Source organism: Homo sapiens, chromosome 20 (genome assembly GCF_000001405.40).
Source record: "Homo sapiens chromosome 20, GRCh38.p14 Primary Assembly".
NCBI lineage: Eukaryota > Metazoa > Chordata > Mammalia > Primates > Hominidae > Homo > Homo sapiens.
Genome location: NC_000020.11, coordinates 22,228,862 through 22,250,928, shown reverse-complemented (window position 1 = coordinate 22,250,928; position 22,067 = coordinate 22,228,862). Strand labels below are relative to the sequence as shown.

Sequence of the window (22,067 nt, the reverse complement as noted above, 5' to 3'; positions counted from 1 at the left end):
GTGAGACAGAGGAGAAAAGATTGATTTAAATCCCATAAACTTGCCAGCATTCATCCCTTTTGGCCTAGAAGAATGGCAGTTTCATATGGATCTGCCTAGTCATACCTCAGCACAGTTCTGGACCCTCTGCAGCCCTTGACCTTCATAGCTGGTGTCAGGATAAAAGTTAACCTTGAGAGCCAGGACTCTTTACTCATAAACAAAATCCAGCATGCCTTGAAGCCTACAAATGCAGAGCCACTTCTTCCTCTCTTCCTCCACTCTTCCCTGACCCCTCCACTCCTCCCTCTCCCTCCTCCTGCTCCAGCCCTCCCCCTATGCTTCTTCCTCCCTCCTCCTCCTCCACTCCCCCTACTTTTCTTTTCCTCCTCACCCACTTCTTCCAAAGGCCTTGACCCCAAAGGGCTTCAGTTAACTTTCTAGAAACTAGGCCCCATCTCCGATCTGTTCCTTGGAGCCTTTTCTGGGCCCCTGGTCCTCCGATTCCTTATCTGTCAGATGGAAACTTCGCACCAATTTCCTGGTGTGCTGTGAGGAGGAAATGAGGTGAAGAGCAAAAGGTTTCAAGCCATAATGTGGGCACCTCCCTTCCACTCAGGCCTCCATAGCAACCATGCATGGAAGCCGACCCACTGAGCCTTGGAACCGGCAGGGACACAGGACACTTGTCCTGGCCCAGGCAATGGGCCCAGGGGAGGGTTCTTTCTCATTTCCCTACTGATTATCTTGTATCATCACTTGTTCTGTGTAGCCTCAGGTAAGCCATTTATCACCTTTGAACCTGAACATCTTCACCCATTCACTGAAGAAATTGGGAAGGCCCTTTCACCTTTATTCAGTGATCTGAATTATTAGTAAATTGTAAAACACATAAGTAAACAAAGGAAATGTTATTGAATGTTCATTACAGCATTATTTTCAGTCACAAAACAATGAAAGCGATTTAAATGATAGATTGTGATAGATTTATGACAGAATATTGTACATCTCTTAAGTCATATTTTAGAAGAATGTGTAATACACATCTTTATCACTTTAAAGCAAAATAAAACAGATTCACAAAATACAATAGTAATTTTATTTCCAACTCTGTAGTAGTGGATAAAGAAATAGAGGTGTGGCAATAGGTATAAATAATAAAGAATTACAGGAATACACATAAAAATATTGGACATTATCATTGTCATGTAGTAGAATTGAGTGGTTTAATTATTCCTTACTATTTTTATGTATTTCATAAATTTTCTAAAGTGAATATACATATATGTAACAGCATATATACATATATATATTCCAGCACATGTCATTATGTCATTTAAAATACATAGAAAAAATGAACACGAATAGCCTATAAGGATTTGTCTTCTTAATTTTCAAACATCACCATTAATTATTTTGTTGCATTATGGCCACACCTTCATCTTCCAGGAGTGGGAAAGGTGACTGGGGGTAAGTGAACTCTGTAAAGTTGGCGGAGAAGATCTCTTTGTCAGTCTCAGCAGCTTACTCAGCCCCATAAAGTAGTGGTTAAAAACCAGACTTGGTCTTTCTGGTTTCTGAATGTGACACATACTGTATTGCTAAAAATAACAAAATTCATCCTTTTTTCCCTCTGGTATTGATAAAATAGAAATTAATTCCAGTAGTCTCACCCTGAAGTTTTGGAGAGAAAACCTAAATGAGTTCTCACATCACCACTGTGTCATTGCATTATGTGACAATGTACCCCAGTTCTCCTTTTCCCCATCTGAGAGTTTCTCTTGGCTGTACTTTTCCTGATGGTCAGGATCTTTTTTTCTCACTCTTTGCTTGATTCCTCTGCTCTCTCCTTCCACTGAGTACCATGCACTGCCAAAGTCCACCCACCTCCATTTGCCTAGTCTTTAGACGCTGAGTGGGTCCCTACTGGGCAAGCTATCTGCATCACTCTTGATGGAAAATAAACGCAGCCAAACAATGGGTATTTGGTTGTTTTCCAGGACTCATTCTTTTTCTACAAAAATAGCCCACTGAGGGGGCTGGTCAGGTGCTTTGAGGACTTTGTGGCTGCTCTGGTCCATCTGGGTTCAGGTGTGGATTTCAGCAATTATTCAGAAGCTTGCTGTTATTAATTTCTCTCAGGTGGAGGGACGCTGCCCAGTCCAAATGAGGGCTTCTTAGGCTTTTGAACCTGGGGATGTAGCATCAAGGACTTCTGACCTCAGAGTTAGTTTGGCATTTACCAGCAGTGGCCTAAGACCCTCTGCCTGACCCACCCCTTCAAAACCAAACATTAGACAGGCAATGAATGGTTGCAGGTATTTCTGGACTGCCCTGGTAATATTGTGCTAAATAACAGGACATTTCAAGCCATAGGAGTAATATGCCTTCTGATATTTAACTAGTGGGTGAGTTAATGTGGACATTTAAATGTGTGTATATCTTTACATTATGTGCAATATTACGCATCTATGAAAATGATCGTTTGCTCCAGCCAGAAAATAAGTGGTCCAATTTGAGGCATGACTCACTGGATCTACATCATGATACTCTGTTAAGCCCCCTTCTAATCATGAGACAACTTAGCACCTTTTCAAAGACCTTGGGAATTCACAACTGCAGTTGAATTAACCACACATAATACAAGCAGTTCCCAGTTTTCCACGGGGTTTTTGTGCAGTATCTTGGATTGCCATTAGAGGTCACCAGTAGTCAACTCGCTGAGAGGCGGCCCCCTCAGTGCCAACATTTTGAAGTCTAGAACATTCCTCAGGAAAATGTGTCTCTAGTTTTAGTGTTCTCACCTATAATATTAGTAGGTCTATCAGTAACTTGAGCTTCCTTGATTTTTACATTTAAGGCTTACTTGTAAGACAGTATATTCAGGACTCAACAATCTATTAAGATGCTAGATTTTCATTAAGAGACCCGCTGGTGCTGATAAGGGAACCTGTGTCCAAAAAAGCAGCTCAAAGTGCAATCTCTGATAGGGCCTGAGGGAAGCCCGGCCATAAAATCCATAATACAACACTAATCAAAGCAAGGATGAGTGCTATCGTTTTAAATGCCTCATGGAACACCTGTGATGTAGATGACTCTACAGCCACTGAAATAATTGTGAAAGGAGGCCACAAATGTATTGACATGAGAAGACGCCCATGCTATACTGTTGAGTGAGAAAACTAGTTGAAGGAAAAGCCTGTAAACTATGATCTCATTATGTATATACCTACACATATATCTTTTTAATATAGATTTTTAGAGTCCAGAACCTAACAGTAATTATGTTAGGGAAATGAGGATGTGTTGGGTTTCTAAAGTTTATCTATGCCTCTGTATGCTTTAGACTTTTTGCAATTGTGTACTTCTTTCATAATTAAAAACATTTCCTTTTCAGATGATGGAGAAAGTGTCACCTTTCTGATGACTTTCCTGGGACCTCCAGGAGGTCTGGGCTCCTTCCCTGTGTCCCTGGATAATAAGCCTTACCTCTGCTACACTTCCACTCATGTGGCATTCTAATTGTTCCATAATTTAGTCTCCCCAAATGAAGTCCAAGGAACTCAAGGTCAGGGACTGAGTCCCACCTGCTACTGTGGCTCCAGCATCCATCATACTTGCTGACAGGTGAATGTTCTAACCTTTATCTGCTGAATAAAGGAATGCCACATGGGATGTGTGAAAGTTCATCCACCCCTGCCAGGTCTGGTGTGTAAGCCAACCACGGAGGTGCCAAGGGGGGCTGCTCTTCTTTCCCCTACAAACCCCCCTCCCCCCTCTGAAGTCTCCCCGTGGAAGATTCATTCACGGAGACGACAGTGTGGGAGTGATTACTCTGGGAGCCTCTCGGTGCATGGCAGGTGCAGGGGTCATGGGGGTGACTGCTCTAGTGGGCAGGACCAGGTCCAGTGCATGTGGGGCATGGCTTGAGTTGGCTTTCATCTCTGGGCTTCACACTTACAAAGGCTGGCTCCCTTATCTCAGCAGCCCTCAGCTTTCAGCACGTCCTCCTGATACTTCAGATCTTTACGTGAGCTGAAAACACTGTGTTGCCTGCTGGGGGTGCAACTGGGGTCTGCCCATCACTATTCCTGCTTCAGAGGGCAACAGTCAACACATACAAGAAGTATCAGTATACCAGTGAGTCCATAATCCTACAACTCCACTAACAGGTGTTTGTTCAAAGAAAACAATGTATACACTGATATAGGTGACACCATTGAGAAAAACATCAGGAATTGCCTAAGTGTCTATCAGTAGGGCTCTGAGTAACTAAATCAGGCTCTGGAATACATTGAAGTATTCCTGGGCAAAATAAAAATGAGGACTGTGAGAATCGTGAGAATCACCAGGAAGTTTGTTAAAAGCAGGCTGTCAGTGTGCCTGGGGTGCAAGATGCTGATTTTATAGAATAAAGAGTCTAGGAATCTTCATTTTAAAATTGTATCTTGGACAATGTTACTGTATACGTCGTGGGAACCCATCTTTGGGAAACACTAGTGCAGCTGTGAACTAATGGATGTAGAACGGTAAGCATGCCAGAAAAAAAAAATCTACAGCCTGGACATGCACAGAAAGTAAGTATCTGAATGAGTGCAGGTCCAAATTTTTATTGCTGGTGAGTATTAGTGGAGAATCTTTACAACTAATTCATTTATATATATTTTTTGGCTTATCTGTGTTTTGTAATTTTTAACAAGAAGCTTGGGTGACTTATGTAAAAATGAAATGATAAAATCTAAAACAAAAATCACTGTTTTGCTTCTCTGGTGGGCATTTGTAGCAAGCCAGAGGGACCTGAGGGAGGTGGAGGCAGGGCAGGGGACTCTCACCTCCTCACTGCTCTCCAGTGGAGAGCCGGAGTCCGAGCGGGGGATGGTCTCTGACTCTACTTCCTGAAGACATAGTGGTCCCCAAGCTGGACATGGGGCTTCTGCTATTACTCACTTTTAGAGATCACCTTTTTCCTGGGACACAGAAAAATCAAATCAATAGATTTTTCTCAAAGTTTTTCTGTTTCTCTCCTGTAATTGTAAAAGTCATTGAACACTTCCTAAATGGAGTGTACATAAGGTGGTATCTGATTTAACATGGAATTGTATATTCAGCTATTGTAAGCTTGACCCATCCAGTATTTCCACATGATTCACACACCACAAAGAATGCCCGGACCATCCAGGTTCTCTCACATCGGAGCAATTCGAGAAGCACCAGTACAATAGAAAGAGCAAAAACCGAAAACAAACATGAATTCCAACCTCAATTTTGTCTGAGTAACATGGGAACACAGGTGCGCTTAACCTCTCTGAGTCTGTTTTACCTCCATATACACAAGTGTAATTATGGATAATCCGAAGGGCTGGGTGCTCGTCAGAATGAAAAGCGTTGGTGCCAAGCTCTCAGCAGCGTCTCTGATACTGAGTGGGAACATGGTAACTGCTAGGTCCACTGCTTGTCCTGGAGGTTGGGCCCTTCCCCCTACAAGGACAGAACCTCTGCTGTGCTGAAGTTCACCTCAGTGACACACGTGCCTGGCCTTGGTGCTCTGCTCAGCAGCTGTCCACAGTCCAAGCTCCCTGCCACACACCCCTAGCCCTCCTGGCCATTCCCAGCCTCCTCCTCACCTGCTTATTTTCATTTGCCCCCTCCTGTTTATCTAGTCTGGGTGGCTTCCGCTATTGGATTCTGCTCTCCACATCTCCCTGTCCTCGGCCTCAGAATGTTATTTATTGAACAGGGAAAGAAAAGGAAGTACTTCTATGTGGGTCTCTCTTGGGGCCCCTAAATGCTTGATATAGGGAAGAATTGGGACAAAATACATCATTTCTGATTTTCCCAGGGAAATGCATCTTGCAGTCTGGGGGCAGTTCTGGACACAGGGGACATGTCGATTGACCCTAAGGGTGTCTCCAGCACCCTGTGTGGATACAGAAGCACAGGTGCCCCCTGGGTGGATTAAATGCCAGCGGCTGAGAAATACTAAATACACACACACACACACACACACACACACACACACACACAAAAGAAAGAAAAGAAAAAGAGAGAAAGTGCAGGATGTGATTAAGAGCCACGTTGGTTACCAAGGTGTTTTCTCTTCATGGCAAAGTACCTTTGGTTACCAGAAAGAACAAGAGAGGCACGAAGTCATAGTCCATGTGCTTGAAGGATCTTAAGGCCTTAAGGCACTGATGTGCCCTCATCTGCAAAGCTGACAAAGAAAGAGCCATGGGAACCTCAGAGCAGTCAGGGTGACTTCAGGAAGGGGCATGGGTGGGAGGCTTAAGAGACGGCACAGGGCATGGGCAGGAGGTGGGGCAGGTCTGTGCACGCCCAGGAGGGGATTTGGCCTTGGCTCAGGATGTCATAAAGAGCTCGTGAAGACCATGGCAGTGCCGGAAAGAATGGGCACTGGAGAAGCTCTTTGGCAGTGATGATTTGACTTCGAGAGCACCAGTATTACCACAAGAGTTAAAATCCACCTTATGAAAGTGGAGCGTTGTTATTATTTGCGGTTAACACAGAGTAAAGAGCACTTTCTTAAAATGTTCATCCATTGGTCCGGAAATGAAACCTAATGCCCTATCAAAACCCCTGTGCACCATAACTAATCCTTAGGCTGATCATTCACGGAGCACTGATTATTGTTTTTGCATAATTTGGACATTAATGTAGAATACTAGTCCTGCTTTACTTTAATAGAAAAGACCACTGCAGTCTTCCCTCTGTCATGTTATTCAATATCCTACAGTTTTCTCTTATTATTTTCGATGCTCAGTTTTCCTAAGGAGTCAGAGCTTAGCTGCACAGGTAATCCCTCCAAAGGCAGTAAGAAACATGCAATAAATACACCGCTATCTAAAAAAAAAAACAAAAACAAAAAACAAACAAAAAAAACAGGACAAGTCAGAGATTAGCTTTCCTTCAATGATTAAAACCTAGGCAGAGGTTTTATTGTTTTAGATGAGCAGAAAAGTTGGGGGAAACTATCCGTCATCAGACCCCAAATCTCACTGTCACCAGGAGTGAATATTCCCATCCTTTCCTCCTAAGTGTGTCGCTGACCCCTTCCTTAGGGCCTGGTCAAAAATATGACAAATCAGTTCACACCACAGTGTTGTTCTCTCTATTAAGGGTGCCACTACTTGACTAAAAGGGAACAAAGGCAGAGGGAACACTTCCAGGGTGTTATGTCACCAGTGGAAGGCCACTTGGCCAACTGGCCAGCCACTTGTCTTAAGGGCAGCCCATGGCCAGGCCCTCAGAGATCACCCCCCTCTTACTAAGGCCCTAAGATGCTTGGATGTGGGAGACATTGCCCATTTCTACCTAGTAGATGCGTGTCAGACCACTAGACCCTCCCTTCCTCTGCCTTTTTAGTGGATAGGTAAAGTACGCTCTTACCCAAAGCTTCCTTGGTAAACGGGAGAGCAAGCAGGAGTGTTTCACCCAGGCCAGGGGGCTGCCTGGGGTGCCTAGCCCACCAGATCCACACACGTTCTCCAGAACAGCATTTCTACCAGTGTCTTCCGAGGCTGCAACTGCAGCTTTCCGTCCACGCATTCTTTTCTGTATCTTAGTCATTCTGATTTGGCTCCAGCCCTCTGAGTCTTGGCTAGAGAGTCAAGCTGGCTTTTTAAGGTCACTGAAGATGCCTGATCTCACTCCATTGGGGGTTGACTCAACTGGTTGAATATGTGGAGTTCCAAGGTTGAGAAAGGGAACAGTATCTCCAGGGGAGTTATTGCAGGACAGGCCATTCAGGTAGAGGAGCTTTTCAGGATTGCCATGGTAGCTGACCATGAGACTCTGACCCACGTGGCTTTTTTCATATCTCAACTTCCATGTCCATGTATAATCATTCACTTGGCAGTCAACAACCCACTGCAATCAAAAACACTATTGCTACAACCCCTAAAATGACAGGAAGAAAAACAACTCACTCACTGTGTTCTTATTGAATGCCAGAGACTGTGCTAAGCCTTCACATGGACTGTCTCACTTAATTAGCATCATGTACACACTTGGCCTCATTTAAAAGGTAAAGAGACCGAGGCCCAGAAAGGTTCTATAACTTACCCAAGGTCACACAGCACTCAAGGGCTGGCTTTAGGATTTGAATCAGCTTATCTAACTTCAAAGTTTTTGAACCGTGCTCTATGTTCTTTGAAAGGTGGAATCATGCAAATCACAGATAATTAGAGCTAAAGATGGGGAAAATGAAGTCTCAGAGAGTTCAGTGACTTGTCCAAAGTCACATGGCTAGATCTGCTAAAGTTAGTTTTCTTTCATACCCTGGCAAGGTGGACTAAATTACATTAAAAATGCCCCTGGCTCTTTACCCCTCCACCCCACCCCACTGCCAGAGGCCAGAAGGAAGTGCAGTGGCCACCCATCTGCGGTCCCACATTGCTTTCTATGAAGGCAGAAACTAGGACTTGTCCCCTCCAAAAGGCTAAGAATCAGAGTGGGAAATTTAGTGTGGAACTTCTCTGCCTTTTCGTGTCTTTTACGGATTTGTTAACCATTCTCTTGAGAAACTGCATTCTTTTTTAAACTGCATTTTTTCTTTAGCTCTGGAGACCAAGTCACATAATTATGCTGACCTAGTCAGCATAGACCACATGGAATAAAAGAGCCTTTGAATGCATACGTGTGTAATGCTTATTATACACACAGCTTTCTTTAAGTATTATTAAAATTATCAGTAATGGCAGCCTAATAGTGATTTCCTGTCAAATCTTTTCATAATGGTATTTAAGTAAAATTATTATTATAATTGGGTTGTTCTCTACTGTCCCTAGAATGAAGAGGAGAAACTTTTAACCATCATGTAACTTTTCAAAATAGAAGTCTACTTTTCAAATATTATTTGTTTCTTATTTTTTCCGCTTGAAAGAACATTAAATAAACTGTATTCCAAAAAATGGAATTAAGTTAAATAAGCATATCTTCAGTTGGTGCCATTAAATGATCCTTAAATCAAATCTTGAATTGACCCTTTCTTGAAGACAGGGAAAAAAATCTTTGTGGCTTGTCTGTGAACTCTCCCAGGTTTCTTTCTGCCAAGCAGGCTGGGGGATTCCCACAGTGCCCTGCCATATGGAGGGTTTGCTGGGTTCAGCAGCTATTGTTCTCTTTCAATACCTGTTTCTAAGAAAGCGAGAACACTGTCTGGTTCCACAGAAGTTACCAAAAGTAACAGAGTACACTGTGGGTTGTCTAAGTTTCATCAGGCATTGCAAGCCTGATATTCAATCTCCTCTGTGTTTTGATCTTTCTGGATTTTCTCCTCTTCTCTTCACCAAGGAACCAGTCCAAACCCTTAACCTTTCCTAACTCAAGAGAAACTCACAGAGGCAGCGTCAAAATTGGATATCTAAATTGAGACTGAGAGCAGGAAGACATCTAGGGTTTTAAGAGTGGCGAGGACTTATTGTTCACTCCCTTGTTGGCCCCTGGGACCAGAGAATGACAGGACCTTTGGAAGACAGAGCATGATTGTGGGGGCACCTCATAAGGTTGGACTTGGGCCCTAGGGCTCAAGCTGGCCAAGCTCTCAGCATGGCGGGACCTCCAGACTTCAAGAGGTGCACTGGTAGTAGGAATCACAAAGGTGACCACCGTAACCTGAAGACAGAGGGGACCTACAAATATTTTGCTGAGCATGATATTTCTGCAATCTTTGTACAGACCTGAGGGGTGCAAAGAGATCCCAGCAATGGCTTTCACTGGGTTTCTTGCCAGCCAATCTCAGGCATCCCAGAGTCACATTTAATTTAACTGAAAAAAAGAAAATTAAGTTCCAGGACTTGATTTTCATTCCCAAGTTTCTGGACAAAGATTCATGCTCACCCCACATGGATGTGTGATGAGTTTTGGATCATTTCAGGTTTTGGTAGGAAATTTACTTGTACTCTAAAAGTTTTAACCAAAGAGAATTTAATGATGTGACTCTCTACTAAAGTGTGTGCACAGCTGAGAAAATCAAGAAGGAAGGTTGAGGCATGCAAAGACAAGCAACATGGAGAAGCTGTTACTTACCCAACATTTTCTTGCTGGCTGCAGCCCGAGGCCACTCTCGGCCAGTGGAGGCCACCCTCAGTGGCTTTCTCTCTGATGTGGCAGTCTCTTTAAGTATAACAGAAGAGTCCCTCTCTTTTTGCAGTGTGCCAAGGTGGAGTGTTGTGTAATGTAACCTGACCACAGGAGTAACATCCCATCATATTCATAGGTCTCACTCACACTGGGGAGCAAAGAGGGTCATACAGGGTGCACCTTGGAATTCCACCTACATGGCCCCCAGGAAGTCTGGAGCTTATATCAGCAACTTCAGTATGAGAAAAGAAAATGACTCTTCCTCTCAAATTAGGAAATCCCAGTGAAGGATTCTGATTGGCTCAGATGAAGGCTGCAGTCCCTTGATCTGTGGCCATGAAGGCAGAACTGTTGCAAGAAGAAATAGGGTAAAACCAATTGTCTTTACATTAGGGAACACTGAATCACCCAGATTCTTTAGAGCTTTTAGAGCTAAACTCAACATATCTGAAACAAAACACATCAATTGCCTATGGAAGGAGGGAAAGGAAGCAGCAGTGGGCAGAGGGAGAATGGGAGCTGGGAGGCTTGCACAGGGTCAGTCTTGGACAATAAAGCCATCAGTGATGGGCTAGCATGGTCTTTCTTAGTTGACTCAAGTTGGGCAGAGATGGCCAGCCCTTGATACTCCCAGAGTGACCAGTCATTACACATGAGCCACTGGAAAAGGATATGGTTTGGGGCGAGGTGTTTCTCTGAGCTCTTCCCCTACCCTGAAACTCCTGAGAGCTGAAGGGTGTCTGCCCCAGCCCTCTTAGCAGGTAGGACCACAAGACCTTCTGTAACGGGGGACTTGGGTGGTGCATTGTGGTCCCCACCACAGACCCTCAGGTTTAACCCTCTGTGCGTTTGCAGAGAGATCACCCTATGCAGAACCTTAACATATATTCTTCACTCTCTTGTCTACCAGGATCCCACCCTCCCCAACAAATGCTAAATCTCTTCTGTTATCATGTGAAACCACTGTTCAAAAACTCTATGGCTCCCAGTTTCCCAGGGTTCAAGTTCCTAAATCTTAGCTAAGCTGGGAGACCCTTTACAATCAGACCCCCAACAAATATTTCCAGGATTTTCTTCAATTTTATATATCAACTGACTTCTTCACCACAATATCAAGTTTCTGTTCTCTAAGGCCTCTTTTCCTCATCTTCTCTCCTTTTTGACATTTTCCCCTTTCGTCTCATCATATACCACTATATACCTTCACCATATACCACTGTGAAAATCCTACTCATCCTTCAGGGGCCTGCCATAAAAATCTTTCCTCCATTGAACCATTATGGGCCAGAGTAATCTCATCCTCCCCAGAAATATGAAATCCTTATCTTGGGCAACATTAATTCTGTGCTCCTGACTTAATGCCATGGACCCTAGGCTATCAGTTTCGGTTTAGTGCGGGTCTTCCTGAAAGCAGGCCCAAGACAAGAACATGGGTAGGTGGCCTCTTCTGGGAGGTGAGATGGGGAATGCAGTGGATTGAAGTGCAGAGGAGGGAGGGAGGGAGGAAGGAGGGTAAAGAGAACAGGGAGAAAGGCCCATGACACATGTGTGACTGAGCAGATTACAGCATGGGCACCAGGGCTGGCTGCTTTCTGCCCAGGAAACTCTGAGGAGTCTCATAGACTCATCTCAGGGTTGCCCACCAGAGGACAGGGAGCCTGGGGCCTTGACCCGGTGACTCCCATCCACCACCTGTTGTTTTCAGGGGTGTTAGTGCCATTGACCTGCCAAGTCGCTTGTGTCTGTGAAGGAGCAAGTCAGAGAAAACCCTCTGGCAGAGAACACAAGAAGCCATTTGCAGTAGGCAGCTGTTGATGTACTGGGAATGTGGATGGCAGAGCAGGTGGACTGGGAGGGGGCTGGCAGGATATAGGTGTCAGCCATGCCTGCCCCACTTTTCCCAGAGACTACAGTCCTTGAATTCATTCTTGCTACATTCTCCGCAGCACTTCGTTTTTTTTACCTAACAAGCACTCGAAGAAAAAAAAAAAAAAACACTCACCAATGTTGGATGCACACCTAGGGGCCAGAATAATGCCTCTTAAGCCAGGGGTCTCTCAACAACTCCTTCTTCAGTAGTGTCCATGACTCCATGGACACTCGGCTCCATGACACTACTTTCAGCTGATTAGCTCCTAACTCTTTGACCAATCTTTTCACTTCTCCATTGTAAGCTTTGATTCCTCTTCTCTGCCCATATGTGTCACCATCCCCTGCAGTGATCCTGGCCTCCTTTCATCAAAACATGGTTATTGATTGAGTTACTATTCATTCATTAAGCTGGCTCTTACTAAGGACTATTTGGGGCCAGGCCTTGTTCCAAGAGTGAGAACACAACACTCACAGGGTTTAACTTCTATTGTTAACAAATCAACAAACAAAAATACAGTATAATGGCTGGGCACGTTGGCTCATGCCTGTAATCCCAGCACTTTGGGAGGCTGAGGCAGGCGGATCACCTGAGGTCAGGAGTTTGAGACCAGCCTGACCAATATGGTGAAACCCCGTCTCTACTAAAAGTGAAAAATTAGCCGGCCGTGCTGGTGCATGGCTGTAATCCCAGCTACTTGAGATGCTGAGGCAGGAGAATTGCTTGAACCTGGGAGGCAGAGGTAGCAGTGAGCTGAGAGATCATGCCATTGCACTCCAGCCTGGGCAACAAGAGTGAAACTCCATCTCAAAAAGAAAGAAAGTGAGAAAGAGAGAGAAAGAAAGAAAGAGAGAGAGAGAGAGAAAGAGAGAGAGAGAGAAAGAAAGAAAGAAAGAAAGAAAGAAAGAAAGAAAGAAAGAAAGAAAGAAAGAAAGAAAAAAAGAAAGGAAGGACGGACGGAAGAAAGGACAGAGGGAGGGAAGGAAGGAAGGGAAAGAGCGACAGAAGAAAGAATAAAGAAAGGAAGAAAGAAAGAAAGAAGGAAAGAAAGAAAAGAAAGAAAGAAGTCAATGGTAAGCATAAAAGAGATAAAGAATTTTTTTTTTTAAAGAGGGGAGATAGGCTATTACTGATGGAGTGGCTAGGCTAGGTGTCTCTAAGGGTTTAATATTTGAGTAGAGAACTACCTCCACTTTTAGTTGAGAAAACTGAGGTTTAGGGAGCGACGTGTCTAAGGTCATACTGTGATAGTTGAAATTTGCTGCCAAGCCTTTTCACCAAAGTCCCAACCTACAAAAGCTATCCTGAGACCTAGGAGTGTGGAGAGGGACAGATAGGTAGAGGTTCAAGCTATCTCCTGTAATGAAGGAAACGGAGAATTTTTTTCTGTCGGTGTCTTCAGAGAACATAATGTCTCTTAATAATTTACTGTTCATGTTTAAGACTAGGAAGCATCCACAAGTTTCACATGATGAAGGAATTGATCATTTAACAGTAAGCTTACCTGCTATTAAAAAGAGGAAGGGGAAGGAGGAGGAGCAGGGAAAGGAGCAGAAATCAATACTTGTCTTGGATGCCAGGCCTCACAATTGAGCTGATGGAAGAAATGCTCCCATTGGCCAAGGTAACCTGAGCATAATATGAACACCGACTTCCTCTGCATATGCCGTATTCTGGTATTTGTGGCCTCAAATGTCAGCACAAGAGAAGTCCTTTAAATTTCCAAGCTTCCTGGTTATGTGATATTGATTAGTTTTTTTTATATTTTATGTCCTGTAATTTCATTTTCAGGCTCATAAACTATATAGCACCAAACCAAGGCTGTTTCATATCTAAGAGACTTTTCAAAACCTTAAAAATAATTCTGTTTTTTTATTCAGCATCATTTTCCACTAGCTATATACCATCTTATGTTGAAAAACCTTTTCAGATGGTTTTGTTGGATGCTTTCTTCAGCTCCTGTATGGCCTACGCATGTCCATCTGGAGTTCAGGCTTCCCATCCCATTGCCCATTGACAAGTTAAGTAAGGACATGCCAGGTCTGTTTTGAGTTTATAAATGTATGTGTGAAGCAAATTCAATTCATTAACAGCTTGTGCTGAACTTTAACTTTTATGAGCATTGGATGTTTTTCTTGCCTTTCCCTACCAGGGAGAATCACATTTCAAAAAGCGAAAGCGAGAGATAGGAGAAAACAGGCCTAAGAGGCCAGCTCCTATGGAGAACGGGCTTGTGCTCTTCATGGTGGCATTTGCCAACCCCTCTAAATGCTACCTCAGGCAACCCAGGAGACACCAGCAGATAGCTTATGGGGAGAGGTAGGCTAGGAGAGGCTACTGCCCAAGGAGGATGGGAAGGGAGTTTTCCTATCTGCACTTCTATTTGTTGTTAGCTCCTGTATCCATGCAGAGCAAGGGTAATATTCTGTGGTTTCTCCCAAGTCGACCCCCTGGGCTCGTGGGCTGTCAGCAGGGTCCCTGAGAGATCCAGCCCCGGGCCTCACGTGGTCTTGGTTACACACTTTCCCAGGTGTGCAAAGAGACATCTGCGTCCCACTAGGAGTGGGACACCTGGGCTAGACTGCTCAGCCACTGAACAGAGACCAGAGGCAAAGTCCTGTCTTTCAGGTTCTGTTCTCGCCCTCGAGAAAGACTTGCCTTTGAGGTTTCAGCAAACCAGGGGGATCCCGACCTCCAGGAAGGCAATAGAAGCCGCCTGCTCCCTGGCACGCGGAGCCTCCGAGCCCTCCGCTGATGACATATGAGCTGCTGACAGTACTGCCAATGTCTGAATTAAAGTTTATGTACTGACACACGGGGCGAAGAGAGAATTTTAGAGTCAGGATGTGAAAGTTCTTTTTCTTTCCACATTGGAGGTAATTACAGGCAAGTCCCGCTCCGAGCAGAAAGGAGGGCCCAGAGCAAGCAGTGCTGTTTACTGTAGTTCCAGGTGAGCTTCTTGCTGAGAGCTCTCCATTTTCATAATGGATGTAACTAAATCAATTAGCAAACAGAATCCAAATCATGTCTGTTACTCAGGCTGAGGAGTCGTGCCTGACCCATCCTCCCTCAACTCGTTATCCAAGCTATCCTAGGCTCTGATTTGTTATCACTTCCTATTTGCCCCATGTTTTTGGACTCCCTGCAGCTTTCCTGTCACTTCTGCACCTGTCCTACCTGAGGACTGGAATGGCCTCCTGCTGGTGTGTCTGTCCATTGTCTGTCCACAGGGAGCTTTAAAGTAGGAATATCCAAGCCCGCCCCAGTGATTCAATATAATTGGTCTCAGGTGCGGCCTGGGCAGTTTTTAAAAATCCACCCAGTGATTGAAACGCACAGCCAGGGTTAGGAATCACGGAACTAGAACCCACAACCCTGTTTTCAGTTGGTGCCTCCTCCACCAACCAAACCGTGAGAGGCTTGTTCAATGTTACTTCCTCCAGGAGCCTTCCAGGTTGCCCAAACCAAACCTGTTTCCAAATCTTGCCTTTCATGTTCCTTCTTACAACATTGCAATTGAATATTCACAAATGCCATTTGTTGTTTAATAGTGATTTCTGTGTCGGGTATCACACCCACCATGTTAAATGCTGGAGTTTTCCATGGCCCGCAGAGCATCCAGCATATGGTGGGCATTGCGCAGGAGGATGCAGCCTATCCTGGGTAGCAGAGGCTGCAGACTCACTTTGTGCCCTTGTCCTGGTGCATGTTTCTAAATAATAGAAAGACACCTGTGGGCTGTGTAACCATGAACAGGTTCTTTGTGAAACTGGAGTTGAGGATAGGGAAAGAACTATGAAGGGAAGAAGGACTGGGCAAGGAGGAAGAGGAGGCTGAACTACCTACTAGCAAGATGATGCACTGGAAAGAGGGCAAACTTAGAACCAAAAGATATGAGTCCAAGGAGCAGCAGCCACAGTGCACTTGCTTTAATATGAAAATGACATTTCAATATTGAGCAATAGCAGCTGCTCCAGAAAATGTGTCTTGTCTATACCCCATATGTAGCACGTCTATTAGCACTGTAGCCATTTTTAACAGGCATGCTCTTTAGAGACTGTACATTCCACAGGGCTGCTAAGGTGCACAGGGAGAAGGAGTGGGCTGCTTTTCAAGAGGCAGCTGGAATTGTAATTTAAATTTGAAGCTCTAGACTCAGAAAGACCTGGGTTCAAATCTTGTCTCCACCAGGCACTTCCTGTTGGCTTTGACCAAATTACTTAATCCTTTTAAGCATCTGCTTTCTTTCTCATTCATAAATTGAACTATTTTAGCAGCTCTCCTGGAGAGCTCCTTGGGAGAGTAACTTGAATCGGCTCCCTTAAGAGGACTTTATCCCACTGCCTGGCACATAGTAAACCTTCAATAAATGCTCAGCAGTTTAAAACAGGGAAAAGCCAATGCAAAGTACAACAGCTTTTTAAAATTCTGATGTGGTTGATCATGCCAGCAGGCAAATACATCTGGGAGGTACGAGCCAACGTTCCTGGTCATGTTTCTGATTAGGAATGGCAGTTCCACCATCCCAGTTCAAAGGAGAGCTAATCTAGGGGTGTGGTCTCCAACCTGCCACTCTTCTTTCTCTGGATCCCGCCTTGGAGGAGTCCAAATAGATCAAAAGAATGTCTCTTGCAGCATTCTATGAAATCTCTTGGCTCCCTTTGTTTCTTCCCATCTCCTGTCTTTTATCTCTGCTCCCACCTTTCAGCAGCCCTGCACGCAGAGACGGATGCTCCCAGTCAGTTGATTCAGAGGCTGCAAGACACAGTCTGCAAGATGTAAATATTCTGGATTCAAAGCTGGCTAACATTATATTTAAAGTGAACGTTCAGTTATTTTGGAAGGAAAAACCAAACTCATTTACTTATTGTGCTTACAGACACCAACATTTAGACTCTTTCTAACTATAAAGGTTTATCTACGCAGTTATCACCTGCACTATACCATTTAAGCAGGGAGAAAAGGAGCCAAATTCCAGATGCAAGTATTTTGAGGGAGGGATCACAGCACTTGTGCTGCCCTTTCTGTAGCAAATGCCAGGAGCATGACCCGTGGGAATTAGAGAGCATGAATATTGTGTTCAGGAGAGCATATATGTGCTTGTGTGTATATGTCTGCATGTGTGCAAGTATCCATATGTGAGTGAATGTGTGCATGCATATGCATGTGTGTGTATTTCTGTGGGTGAGTGCTTAGTATGCATAGCTATCTTAGGCCTGGGTTGCCCCAGACACACAACCTGAGGCCCAGATTCAAGAGCAAGAAGTTTAGTTGGAAGATAACCCCAGACATTTCTGATCAGGGAAAGAGGATCCTGTGAGATAGGGCAGAAAGCTACAAAAGGTCTGCCAACAAGCACTGTGGGTAGTGGAAGCTCAGTTCCTCTGGGGAGCTTTGGGAGACAATGTAGACTAAAGAGTGATATTTCTAGGGCCGGGCTCAGTGGCTCATGCTGTAATCCCAACACTTTGGGAGGCCAAGGCAGGTAGATCACCTGAGGTCAGGAGTTCGAGACCAGCCTGGCCAACATTGTAAAACCCCATCTCTACTAAAAATACAAAAATTAGCTGGACATGATGGTGGGTGCCTGTAAATCTCAGCTACTCGGGAGGCTGAGACAGGAAAATCATTTGAACCCGGGAGGCAGAGGTTGCAGTGAGCCAAGATCACTCCACTGCACTCCAGCCTGGGCAACAAGAGGGAAACTCCATCTCAAACAAACAAACAAAAAATGATATTTCTCTATAAACTTTCTGTTTGTCATTGCCTTGTGGCCTAGAAATAAGCCTCTAGGCAGAGACTCAAGCCATAGCAGCCATCCCCCTTCAGCATGTAGAAGTGAGTACACCCAGGGGAAGCAGCATCTGCTACAAGGTTCAGGTCTTGTGAGTTGAGTGCCACCCAAATGTTTCCTAGACACATGCAAAAATAGTAACAAAGAGAAAACATCTGGCCCTGCAAATGGGACAGTCAGATAGTGTGCACAGAATGAGTCTGCCTGGGTCTTGCCAGCATCAGTAATCTATCTTTACTCTTCTTAATCCAGACTCCTTTTTATTCCTGAGTCCATCAGATATATGACTCTGGTTTTGTAGCTGAAAAAAAAAAAAAAAAACCCAATTTAACATCATAGTGGGGAGTTGCCTTACCTTGTGCTGAATGCTATCAAGTTGTTTTTGCTTTGTTTTGTTTCTGTTTCTGAAAGCAAGACTTCATAACCTAAGTCTTCAAAAAGAAATACCAGCAGATCACAGGGAGAGAACAGGAGGGAGACCTCACAGGCCACGAGGGACAGGAAACGCTGCTTCCCCAGGGACTGCTCCGGCGGGGCTGTGGCATCCTGGGGCCCTGCAGACTCACATTACCCCCGCCCCCCACCGCCCCCCAGCAGCTGCACTCATTGCCTGTACTGCCCTGGCCGACTTGAAGATGTTGCCCTCCATTCCACGACTTGCTATGGTTTGATCTGCAGTTCCGTACTATTAGCCTTTCTAAGTCTTGCATGAAATAAAGCCAGATGAGTTTTGTTAACCCTTCACAAGAGTTTGTGTGGGAAATAATGTGTACTTATATTTTTCTAGGATTTGAGGAAGATTTAATAGCTTTCTTTTTGTAATTAACATACAGTAAAATTGACTTCTTTTTGGTGTACATCCCGTGAGCATAAACACACGTATAGATCCCTGTAACCCCTAGCACAACTAGAATGCAGCATAACAACTTGTAAACACTTCTTCTATCTCAGATAAACAGGTATTGTTTTCCTTTTCATTTATTTTATCATACTTTAGGAAAATGTCTAACTAGCATAATGAACCTGTCTTTGTCCTGATCTTATCACTTAGGAACCTAATAAAAATAGTTATGGTAAAAACTAATGAACAAAAGTATAAGCATTATTTAGATATGGCAACATTTATGGAGATGGAAGACAAGCGAGGGAACTCTTGGAAATGACATTCTTTCCACCTTGTCCAAGGTCAAAATGATCCAGCCCGTGCTGGGGGTGGTCTGGGTTGGGGAGTTGTGGGAATGAGAGGTGTTCCCCTCTGGGAAGGCGGGAGTTTAGTATGTAAGAGTCAGACGGTTGATAAACCTGTGCACCCAGCTTCAGTTCCAGAGGAAGCCAGTGAAAATTGGGACACTATGTGTTGCAGAATGAGACACAGCCACAGACAAGGGCTGCTTCAGCAGCGCCTCTCATGCAAAACCAGGTTTTTATGTGACTTGAAAAGCATGACACTAACAGAAAGCGTCATTCATCTTACCAGTTATGGTTGGCTGTAAAACAGAATGAAGAATTATTTCCCTTTGAAAGACAAAATGTTTATCTTCTAATTCTTTGGTATTCTTTCTTTTAGCCTTTTAAATTCAAATTCCCATCCTTCCTTCACCTAAGCTTTACATTTAAAATTCTAATTTAAAATAAGAAGAAAGCTGAGGCTTTCTGTTTTTACTGTCTTTGACTGAAATTGGTCCACATCAGAAACATTCAATGATTGAGCCACATTTCCTCAGGCTGTGATATTAAAAAAAAAATCCAGCTGGTCAAACTCCATCTGTGGTTGTTCTATTACTTATAGGAAGTTCTGCAAAGCAAATGGAGAAAGCTTTAAGCCAAAAGGCATGAGGGCTGTGCTCAACCCAGCTTGGCCACTGAATTCTCTTTTGTCCTTATGAAAGTCCTTGCCTAGGCCAGCATTGCACTTTCCTGGTTTGCAGAATGAAGATTGGACTAGATAACTTTTTAAAGGTCTTTTCCCATCACTAAGAGTGCATGATCATGTATTTTGCTCAGCCTCTTTGCTTTCTTGCTTCCAGTGTCAAATGGCAGGAACCATTTTAGAGGCACTTTCTGCATAAAGAACTGTGGAATATGCCTTATGTGTGTGACCTCATTTAATCCTCAGTGTTAGCCTGCAAAAGAAGCATTCTTTCCTCTAGTTTGAAATGGAGAAATCAAAGCTCTGAGAAGTTAAGTTGGGCCCTCTAAATCATGCGCCTCATAAAGGATGAGGGCAGACAGAATTAAAGCCCAGGCCCCATGTTTATATCACTCTGCTTACTGCCACTCCTTGCCTTTCAAAGACACATATCATAAAGGAAATGACATTCCAAAACCAGGGACCCCAGGATAGTTTATTTTTCTAAGGTGCCACAGGCAACTAATGTACTTTGGGTTTAGAATAAACTCCTTGGGAGTAGACCCCACATGAGGGGGAAATTATTCCAAGTTGATATGCTGCATGTGCAAATGTCATGTCCACAGCCTCTTCCCCAAGGGAGCAGCTCTCTGAACCTTCAGTTGACTAAAAATCCAAGGGGAATGGTTGGTACTTGGGTTTGTTCAGTTTGGGAATCAGGTAAAAGGAACACAAAGACCTAGGATTGTTTCACAAATAAAAAGCATACAAGTGGGACAGAACCTTCATTCTCCCATACACACTGTCAGGAACAAATGGGGAGTGGATTGCATGGGGCAGCCTCTTTGCCAAGTTCCCTCCGACTCCCACCATCTGAAAAGCGTTTGCAGTAACTCTCAACACAGAACATGGAGAATCACGGAATGAAGTATTCCCACTGAGTGTTCTTGCGAATGAGATTAGCCTGATACATTTTTGTTGTTGTTTCAACGCCTGCTGTTAATGTGATTCGAGTCCAAATATATTTATTCAGGTTATGAGAAATATAATTCCATTTTTATAAAGGAGAATATAGATATGCACCATATTTTTATGGGCATTTATAAAATGCCATCAATTATTAGAAGAATTATAATTTTATGTGCCACTAAAGGAAAAATGTTAGCAATTACATTTGATACAATTATTTCTTATTCCTTAGAATTTTTATAATTAGTGAGCTTTTAAAGATTTTTTAGGCATAGATTTTAACATATATCACTTTTTGATGTATGGGCAAGTGTAAATATAAGTTAAGTAAATAGGTCGATGCTTTTTGAAAACCTGTTTGCCTTCTGAGTTTGACTTTTCGGGATCACTTTTTGACACAGAGACGTGAATGTTCTTGTGCGGTTGGTTGGTTTGTTTTTCCACACAGTATCATCCCCTGTGCCACTGAGAACACTGGGAATACAGCAGTTCTTCAAAGAATCTTTCATTCTTGTCTTCAATTTTTCTTCTAACCAAAGACATTTAATCTACAACTTTGCAGAGCATGTTCAGGAATGACGATTGTATCTTTACTACTGCCTGGTTGACCAGAATTGTAGAATGCATTCCAATTTCAGAGGTAGTAAATGACTTTCAAAAATGAGCACTGACACAGCATGTAGGAGTGTAAATAACTTGGCAGAGTCTTTCTCTATGACAATCTGTCCCATCAAGTGCTCTAAAATATCCAGAGCTCCTGTTTTCCTTGAAGATCTGATGCCTCGACCTCACCCTAGCACTTTACACTATTATCTTCCTGATCTGGTCCCCACTCCCTTTCTTTTCTCCAGACCTTTGCATATGCTTCATTTTGCTAGAAGAGTGTCCCTTCCTCCCACCCACCCTTAACTCACAAAGACTTCTGTTGCCTCCCCAGTACCCATTTGTCATTAACTCTGATGCCCTACCCTGGAGCCCCACCTCATTTCCAATGCCTTGAATAGATGCCTCCCCTAGTGCTCGCATCCCTCCATAACACTATGGTGTGACTGGCCAATGACCTGTCTTATTCACCACTGGTCAAGTAGGCTCTGACAGAGAAGGTATTCAGCATGTTTGGCTACCATGATGGCACACAGGGTGCAGGCTCTCAAAAATATTTATTAACAATTTTTAGGTGTTATTTGTGACGTTTTAAAGTGTTTGTTTTAAATATATGTGAGCATGATAAATATAATAAATATGACATACATAATAGAAATAAATAGTACGTAATAAATACTTACGTATGTATAGAAAAATACATACTCAGCAACAAAAGAACAGGCAGTCTCCTTCTGCTAACTCCTCCCTGCCCCTGCCTCACTTTTCAATACTGTTTTTAGTTAACATGGTTGCTTTCTAATCTGTTTGTTTTTTCACTTTCTGGGATGTAAATATTCCCATCATGGCCAATCTCAAGCTTCCAGCAGTTTAACAAATGACTCATTAAATTCTTGAATTTTAAC

General features: G+C 43.6%; 3 annotated features.

The window, feature by feature from the left end:
- Nucleotides 5,404–5,698: an enhancer, noted in NCBI's record as "tiled region #10919; HepG2 Activating DNase matched - State 8:EnhW". NCBI's record gives its function as "activates a minimal TATA promoter and a strong SV40 promoter by Sharpr-MPRA in HepG2 cells {active_cell/tissue: HepG2}" and the evidence as "EXISTENCE:reporter gene assay evidence [ECO:0000049][PMID:27701403]".
- Nucleotides 11,190–11,690: an enhancer, noted in NCBI's record as "H3K27ac hESC enhancer chr20:22219877-22220377 (GRCh37/hg19 assembly coordinates)". NCBI's record gives its function as "activates a minimal SCP1, AML or CMV promoter by ChIP-STARR-seq in primed H9 embryonic stem cells {active_cell/tissue: H9 hESC(primed)}" and the evidence as "EXISTENCE:reporter gene assay evidence [ECO:0000049][PMID:30033119]".
- Nucleotides 11,691–12,191: an enhancer, noted in NCBI's record as "H3K27ac hESC enhancer chr20:22219376-22219876 (GRCh37/hg19 assembly coordinates)". NCBI's record gives its function as "activates a minimal SCP1, AML or CMV promoter by ChIP-STARR-seq in primed H9 embryonic stem cells {active_cell/tissue: H9 hESC(primed)}" and the evidence as "EXISTENCE:reporter gene assay evidence [ECO:0000049][PMID:30033119]".